We start from the raw sequence: 8282 nt of genomic DNA on the forward strand, positions 1-8282 counted from the left end.
CTGTGGAAGGGCAGTTCAGGAAAGTCCAAGGATGTTGACAACAGCATCATGCCACTGTAGCTTCCAGGCAGGTGGAAAAGGAAAGGAGGTTAGGTGGGAGGGAGGGAGAAGGTGAGTGAGAAGAAGGGCACAGTCGAGCACAGAGCTGGTGAGAGTTGAGGGGATCCCTGACAAAATCAGCCCACTGGCTGCGAGACGTTATTCAGGTCTTCTCCAAAGTTGCTCAGTTCTAAAATGAGACAATACTTTCCTCCCAGGCTAAATTGTGACAACATATATAAAGGGCTTGACCCAGAAGGCCTTCAGCAATGTGTTGCACTGAAAACTGCCAAATGCTGCAGAAGTTGCAGACACAGAGGAGGCCCAATCAGTGTCCTTTTTCATATTCACCTTTGAGCCGGGGGTGCCTGCTCAGGGCCTGGGCCACAAAAGGCACTGAGCAGAGATTTGTTTAGGAGGCAACATGAGGTAACAGTGAAGACAAGAGCAATTCTGCCTGCTTGCTGTAGGATCAGCCAAGCCTCCACTTTCTCCTCTGGCAGATGGAGATCATGGCAGTGCCTGCCTCATAGGTTGAGAGGATTCAATTAGGCAGGCCTGTGATGCAGATGCTGTGGGCTGTCCTGCCCCATCCCCTCAGCACTCACATTCCTGAGGGCCCGATGGCTTCCTACTTTTCTGTGGTCACAGGAGCATGCTGCTTAACACCTGTGGACCAGAAGTGCCAAGGAGGTAGCACTTCTATTAGCCAAAGACAGGAGTCAGAGCATAAAGATGCAGGTTCGGCCAGGTGCGGTGGCTCACGCCTGTAACCTCAGCACTTTGGGAGGCCAAAGCAGGCAGATTGCTTGTGTCTGGGAGTTTGAGATCAGCCTGGGCAGCATGGAGAAACCCATCTCTACTAAAAATACAAAAATTAGCCAGGCATGGTGGCGTGCAGCTGTAGCCCCAGTTACTTGGGAGGCTGACACAGGAGAATTACTTGAACCCAGGAAACGGAGGTTGCAGTGAGCCGAGATCATGCCACTGCACTCCAGCCTGGGCAACAGAGTGAGACCCTGTCTCAAAAAACAAAAAAAAAAACAAAAAAACCACACCTGGTGCAACTCAGGTGTGTTCCATGCAACCTCCCAGAACTCCCCAGCAGGATAACATACTAGTTGCCCACAATGGCAACCTGCTCATGAATGCACGTTTTGATTTCCCTCCCGTCCTCATCTCACATCCTCACTCCCCTCCTGGTGCCTCCTGGGATCACCTCCTAATTGAGTACTTGTTCTCAAATCCCTGTCTCAGTGTCTGCTGCTGGAAAGCCCAATCCAAAAGAGCGTGTAAAGTGCTTGACAGAAAGAGGACGCTTGATAAATGCTAGCCAGCTCACTAGTGTGAAAGTGTCATGAAGGCAGAAGTCATCCATCTGAATATGACTGTCTCCCCAGGTCCAGGTGCTGGCACAGAGGTGGCACCTAATACACATGTGTTGAAGAAATCAATAGACATGCTCCTCCCACCACCCTGTCCTTTCCCTCCCTCCCTTTCCCTAGTCTCACTCTCATTTCCCCCAGTCCCACATTTTCTTTCCTAGTGCTCTTTTTCTCCTCTCGTGGAGGAAGGATGCTCTGGGCCCAAATACCCCTTTGCTGTCCCAAAAGTTCCACTCTGGAAATGAGCCCCCCCGCAGCATTGTGACATCACCGTGCACTAGCCAATGGCTGCCTGCCTAAGCTGGGTCCCTGGTCTCCTGGGACTACTAGCCCTTTGTTGATAGGGAGAAGCCAACATCTCCCGCAGGACCCCCTAATCTTCAGGGCAGCTCCCAGAGCATGGATCCCTCCTGATTCCACTCAGCCCGATGTTCCTCACAGTCAAGCTGCTCCTGGGCCAGAGATGCAGTCTGAAGGTGTCAGGGCAAGAGAGTGTAGCCACGCTGAAGAGACTGGTGTCCAGGCGGCTGAAGGTGCCTGAGGAGCAGCAGCACCTGCTTTTCCGTGGCCAGCTCCTGGAGGATGACAAGCACCTCTCTGACTACTGCATTGGGCCCAATGCCTCTATCAATGTCATCATGCAGCCCTTGGAGAAGATGGCGCTAAAGGAGGCCCACCAGCCGCAGACCCAGCCCCTGTGGCACCAGCTGGGACTGGTCCTAGCTAAACACTTTGAACCACAGGATGCCAAGGCCGTGCTGCAGCTGCTAAGGCAGGAGCACGAGGAGCGCCTGCAGAAGATAAGCCTGGAGCACCTGGAGCAGCTGGCCCAGTACCTCCTGGCAGAGGAGCCTCACGTGGAGCCAGCTGGAGAGAGGGAGCTTGAGGCGAAGGCACGGCCTCAGAGCTCCTGTGACATGGAGGAGAAGGAGGAGGCAGCAGCTGATCAGTAAACGGGCCATCCTACCCATTTGCATGCTAAAATTCTCCCGGCCTCATCCTTACGTGTTCCCTGGTGACTTTTCCTACTACTTCCTGCTGATGTGGATGCGTCCACACCCCTTTTTGAACCTTCCAAGCAGCTGGAGGGTTTTTGGATCCCTGTCCCCTCTTGGGCCTGAGGTCCTCCCTCTGAAATGCAGAGTGAACCAACCCTCATCACCATGCTTCCCCTAGAAGGGTTCTGATCACCGGAGGGCAGCCCCAAAGGCCACAGTCCCCTCCTGTGCTGGCAGCTTTGCCCACACATACCCAGCAGCTCCCCAGGCTGAAAGCAGCCCTGGCCCAGGGTCTCCATGGTTCTAGGCAGACCCTCTTTCTCCTTCGGGACAGAAAGACAATGTGAGTTCATTTTCCTCCATCCTCAGACCGTGACATCTCCCCTAGGCTCCCCAGCAGCCAAGAGGAGAGGAATGTCAGGTAGCTGCCCCTTGCCTTCTGGGTGAGGCTGCCCCTGCTGTTCTCCTGCTTGTGCTTCCAGCTTAAGGGACAGGCACAGCAGAGGTGAGAGTGGGAGGAGGGCACGTACCGGGTGCCAGCCCTGGAGCCCTCAGGGAGACAGACACAGACCAAGAATAGCAGGAAACTGAGCCTCAGGCAGAAAAAAAGTTCAGCAAAGTCATACACTCCCTGTGGCCAGCGTGAACAGAGCCATGCCCCACCCTCCCAGACTGATCAGTCAGTAGGTATCACAGCTCACATTACCTGCCCAGCGCTGCCCAAGGCTCCCTGGAAGGAAAAATGGTATCTGTCAATGAGGATCCTTGCCCTCACAGAGCACGCAGCCTAGATGCAGAGAGCTGCTATACATGTGAAAAGTAAAGTGGTGACATGAAACTAGAGTCTAGTGTGTGTGACTGAATGCACGGGGCCTCACGGGGCCCTGGGTTCAGCATAGAGGGGCCAGTCCCCTGCAGACTACGAGGAAAGCCAGGCCCTTTACTCTGTTCTTTGAGTGAGAGAGTGGCCCTTGCAGAGGCTGAGGAGTCCCCACACTCTGTGTGTGAGTGGGAGGGAGTGGGGAGCTGTGGTCCCCCATTCACTGCTGAAGCCCCTGAAATGCTGTTATTGCAAAAGTTTCAGTCCTGAGTGATGGGGATGGAGGGAAGGGGTGGAGGAGAATGTCTTGAACAAGCAGGGCCCCCTTCCCTAGGAAGCATCCTGTCCTTGGCCTGCAGGGCCCCTCATCCTCTCTTCCAGTCCGAGTCCAGCTGTGTGGCCATGGGTAACCTGCTTTTCCTGTCTGATGCTCAGGTTTCCCACCTGTTGCATGGGCATCCTTATAACAGCATCTACTTACCCCATGAGTGTTGGTGACGGTTAGAGGCAAAGACTGTCCAACTGGGAGGGATGTCTTCTAGTGGTGGGCTCAGCGGCAGTGACAAGGATGGATGTGGAAAGCATTCTGTTTGTGGGAGCCTGCTTAGCAGTGGTCATTCCCTCACCTCGCAGAATAAGACAACCTCGTTCAGCTTATGACCCAGCTCCTTTCCCAGTGCCCCACCCACTGTCCCAGCCAAGAGAGCAAACTAGGGGCTCTGAGGAGACTAATGACCTCTCCCTGGGGTACCAAGGACCCAGCACGCACTGGCTGCAGCCAGCACTCCCAGGCTGGGGTTTAGGGGGCTCAAGCCTGCTCCTTGGTTCCTGTCCTGGTCCTGCTCCTGGGCCCTGCATCCTCAGCAGGGGAGCCCTCTTGACAGTTCTGTGAGTGTTTTCATGCTGGGGCTGTACCATTTGCCAAGGGAGATGAGCCTATTATCTTTACATTAGGGGAACTAATAGCCCATTTCCCAGGAAATCCGTGAGCGATAAAAATAAGTGGGCCGTTTTATTCCTTTTACTGAGAGAAGCTGGCATGAAGGACAGGGGAAGCCTTTGTTTTCTCTCTAGTTAGTGGGAGTATCAGGGCTGGCTGAGAGCAGGCCAGGGGAGGCAGCCACCTCCACTGTCTGTCCCCAGCACTGCAGGGGAGGATGTCTCCAATCCCAAACGGGGAAGAAGGAAAGTTGGTCTGCTCTTCCATGCACCTCCCACTACCGACTTCCCCCATCCCAAGGGCCCTCCTGCCCCTGTTCCTCCCTTCAAAAGCAGGAGAGAATGCACTGTCACTTGGAACTTAGCAGGAACTTGCACCTATTTGTCACCACTCCCAGGAATGGTCTTACTCAGTGCTGTGTTTCTCAATGTGGGGTGACAGGCATTGTCCCCTAAAGGATGTTGTTATAGTCATCAGAGAACAGAAGTTAGGAGTGTATTTGAGGGGCTGGGGCAGGATCAACCCCTAATACTCCAGCGATGGGTTTGGATCTCATCTGTGTTGAGAACACTAGCTCTTGGGCTGCCTGCCATGGGACCCCTCACTTTGCCTAGTTTTGCCCTATTTCAAACTGAAGCCTGTACCAGTGCACCTGTTGAAGGCTCCCTATTTCCTCTCTGCTTCGCTAGGGAGAAGGCACTTTTTCTAAACTTCAGCCTTGGGCAGAAACTCTTTCCCCTAACTCCCCACGGCATCTCTCCCCTACCTACCTACAGGTAACAATTTTGCTCATGTTGGGGGCATTTCAGGACAGCCACCACATCCAGTAGCCAGCTTCGTGTTTCTATCCACAGAGAAATCTAGCTTCTCATCCCAGCTTCTTCCTGGGTCACCTGCAGGCCAACACCCCTCAGTCCACTGGTCCATGGCAAAATAGTCTTTCTGATAGAAATAGGCAGAGCATCCTGGTCCATGTGCTATTTAGTCAGTCCTTTGCTTTTCGATCAATAAACATATATGGGCCTCTGTCTCAGTCTGTTTGTGCTGCTATAACAAAATACCTTAGACTGGGTAATTTACAAACAACAGAAATTTATCATTTACAGTTCTGAAGGCTGGGGTTTCCAAGAGGAGGGTGCCAGCAGATGTGGTGTCTGGTGAGGACCTGTTCCTCACTGACAACGCCTGCTGTGTTTCCTCACATTGCAGAAGGACAAACAGGCTCCTTGCAGTCTTTTTTTTTTTGATAGGGTCTCCCTCTGTCACCCAGGCTGGGGTGCAGAGGCGCGATCTCAGCTCACTGCAGCCTTGACTTCCCAGGCTCAGGTGATCCTCCCACCTCAGCCTCCCGAGTAGCTGGGACTACAGGTTCACACCACCACACCCAGCTAATTTTTGTATTTTTTGTAGAGACAGGGTTTCACCACATTGCCCAGGCTGGTCTCAAACTGCTGGGCTCAAGTGATCCGCCCACCTTGGCCTCCCAAAGTGCTGGGATTACAGGTGTCAGCCACCACACCTGGCCTCAATCTCCTTTACAAAGGCACTAATCCCATTCATGAGGACGAGCCGTTGTGATTTAATCACTCCCCCAAAGTCCCTATCTCTTAATACTACCACACTGGGGATTATGTTTCAACATGTGAATTTTGGGGGACACCAGCATTCAGACCACAGCATCCTGCCATGTGGCAGGCTTTGTGCTGAGATTTAGGCTGGTAGACAAGGAGTCCTGTCTCCTGGACCGAGAGTAGTGCGCCCCCTGCTGTCCCTTGCAGCATGGTGCAGCAGAGGGGCTTTGGAAACCCCTGACCTCCAGTGTCGGCCTGTAATTAGGATGCGGTGATGTGTTTGTAGGTAGCTGTGGTGCTTTTACCACTAGTCCTGAAAGATGGGGCAGGCAGTGGTGTGTCAGGATGAAGTCTTGCAGATGTGGAAGAAGCTTTCAATGTTCCAGGGCTCCAGAAACCCCGGACGGCTGATTTTAGAAGCAAATCCAGTCCTCTCCCCTCCTTCCACTCCGACTTGCTCCCCTCCATCAGCCTTTGTTCAGGATTAAGTGAGATTTTAGTTATCATATAAAGCTTCCGGCCATTTTAAACTGGGGAAGAGAGGCATGGGTAGAAGGAAGTGGAGGGCAGTGCTGCGCCTCCTCAGAAAAACAGCAGAGTCCAGTGGAGGTGCCTGAGGGAAGACATGGTGACATTGTGTTGAGATGTAAACAGACAGGATGGGCGGGTTCTGGGAATCTTCCTTCTGTGCTGGGAGAGGTGATGTTGTAATGGGCAAGGACCAGGGGTAGAATGTCAGCTTTTTTTTTTTTTTTTTTTTTTTTTTTTTTGAGACAGTGTCTTGTTCTGTTGCCCAGGCTGGAGTACAGTGGTGCAATCATGGCTCACTGCAGCAGCCTTGAACTCCCAGGCTCAAGCAATCCTCCCACCTCAGCTTCCTGAGTAGCTGGGACTACAGGTGTGCACTACCATGCCCAGATAATTTTTTTTAATTTTTCTTTTGTAGAGATGGTCTTACTATGTTGACCAGGCCTATGTTTCAAACCCCTGGCCTCAAGCAGTCCTCTTTCTTGACCTTCCAAAGTGCGAGATTACAGGCGTGAGCCACTGCACCCAGTTCAGTTTCTATTTCTGTATCTGGGACTTAGCTTGAACACCACTTTGCTTTTGCTAAATGAAAAATATTGACGCCATAATAAATGCAGTAAGCTCTCTTGGACGCAGTTCTAAAACTGTTGAATTCTTCATACTGTGGGGTGGCCCCATTAGTGAGACAGTCACTGCAAATGGAAGTCCAGAAGTACTGAGTCTAGGTCTTCACATCAGGACTAATTTGACAAAAGCACCAGCTGTGAAATGGAATGATCAGACTGTCCCCTGAGTAGGTGCACTCTGACAGCCAGAGATCCCAGTGTAGGAAGTCTTGCACTGGACAGGGGCCTGGGACCCAGTATTGGCTCTTCTATTTGCCTTGAGCCTTGGACAAGTCAAGTCACTTCATATCTCCGGACCAGAGACTCCCTCATTTTCAAAATAGAAGAAGGAATTGGACTTGACCCCTAAAGTACCTTCTGACACTAAGGTTCTGTGATGGTGTGAAGTCATGAACAGGAGCTGCTGATGCCCCAGGCTGGGGAAAAGCAACAGGAGCTGGCTCTCACGGGGGCACTGTGAGGCCTTGAACACACATCAGGGATGGCCATTTATTATGAAGATAGACAATGGCAGGATGGTCAGGATGACTTGCTACCAAATAGCATGGACAATATAAATACATTTTTGTAATGAAATATGAAGCTCAAAATCATACAAAACAACATTATAGATATTATTTAGGGATACATGCTTAAGAAAACATTAATAAATGTTTGGTAGGAAGGGAAATGCAACCGAGGAAACTTTTACAAGGGCTTCAATTATAAAGTGTATTGTGTCAAGTGGTGGGTACATGGGTATTAGTTTTCTATTACTGTACAATGAACTACAGTCATCCCTTAGTATACATGGGGGATTGGTTCCATAACCACACCCCCTCTCCTGCATTATACCCAAATCCACACATACTTAAGTGGGCCCTGAGGAAGTCGGGTGTACAAAAAGCCAGCCCTCTGTATACGTGGGTTTTGCATTTTGTGAATATTGTATTTTAAATTTGCATTTGGTTGAAAAAAATCCAAGTATAAGCAGATCTACTCAGTTCAAACCCATGTTGTTCAAGGGTCAACTGTACTGCAAATTCAGCAGTTTAAAACAACACGCATTATCTCACACTTCAGTGCCATGTCTTACCTGGGTTCTCTGCTTAGGGTCTTAGGCTGCTGCCGTGAAGATATTGACCGGGTTGTGTTCTCCTCTGGAGGCTTGGCAGGGGAGGAATTGGCGTCCAAATTCCTGTGGTTGGCAGAATTGATTTTCTTGCAGTTGTGGGACTGAGGGCCTGGGCTTTTTGCTGGATGTTGGTGGGAGGTCACCCACAGTTCCTAGAGGCTGCTTGCAGTTCCTTGCCATGTGGGCTTTTCTAGCATGACTGCCTGCTTTAGCAAAGAGAATTTCTAGAGTTAGCTGGCAAGGCCAAGTCTTCTACAACAT

The 8282-nt window shown here is 51.3% G+C and overlaps 1 protein-coding gene across 1 annotated transcript, besides 1 other annotated feature; it reads left to right on the top strand.

The window, feature by feature from the left end:
- Window positions 1-1760: 1760 nt before the first annotated feature.
- On the top strand, window positions 1761-3265 carry UBL4B (ubiquitin like 4B). Its single transcript, NM_203412.2, has one exon. It carries the CDS (start codon window positions 1853-1855, stop codon window positions 2375-2377), a length of 525 nt encoding a protein of 174 aa, NP_981957.1. The 5' UTR covers window positions 1761-1852; the 3' UTR covers window positions 2378-3265.
- Window positions 5845-6139: a silencer, noted in NCBI's record as "tiled region #1498; K562 Repressive DNase unmatched - State 12:CtcfO". NCBI's record gives its function as "represses a minimal TATA promoter and a strong SV40 promoter by Sharpr-MPRA in K562 cells {active_cell/tissue: K562}" and the evidence as "EXISTENCE:reporter gene assay evidence [ECO:0000049][PMID:27701403]".

This window comes from Homo sapiens, chromosome 1 (genome assembly GCF_000001405.40).
Source record: "Homo sapiens chromosome 1, GRCh38.p14 Primary Assembly".
In the NCBI taxonomy this organism is placed as follows: Eukaryota; Metazoa; Chordata; class Mammalia; order Primates; family Hominidae; genus Homo; species Homo sapiens.

What these genes read in the sequence shown, in the direction of transcription:
- UBL4B (NM_203412.2), top strand. Translation starts at nt 1,853, where the DNA reads ATGTTCCTCACAGTCAAGCTGCTCCTGGGCCAGAGATGCAGTCTGAAG.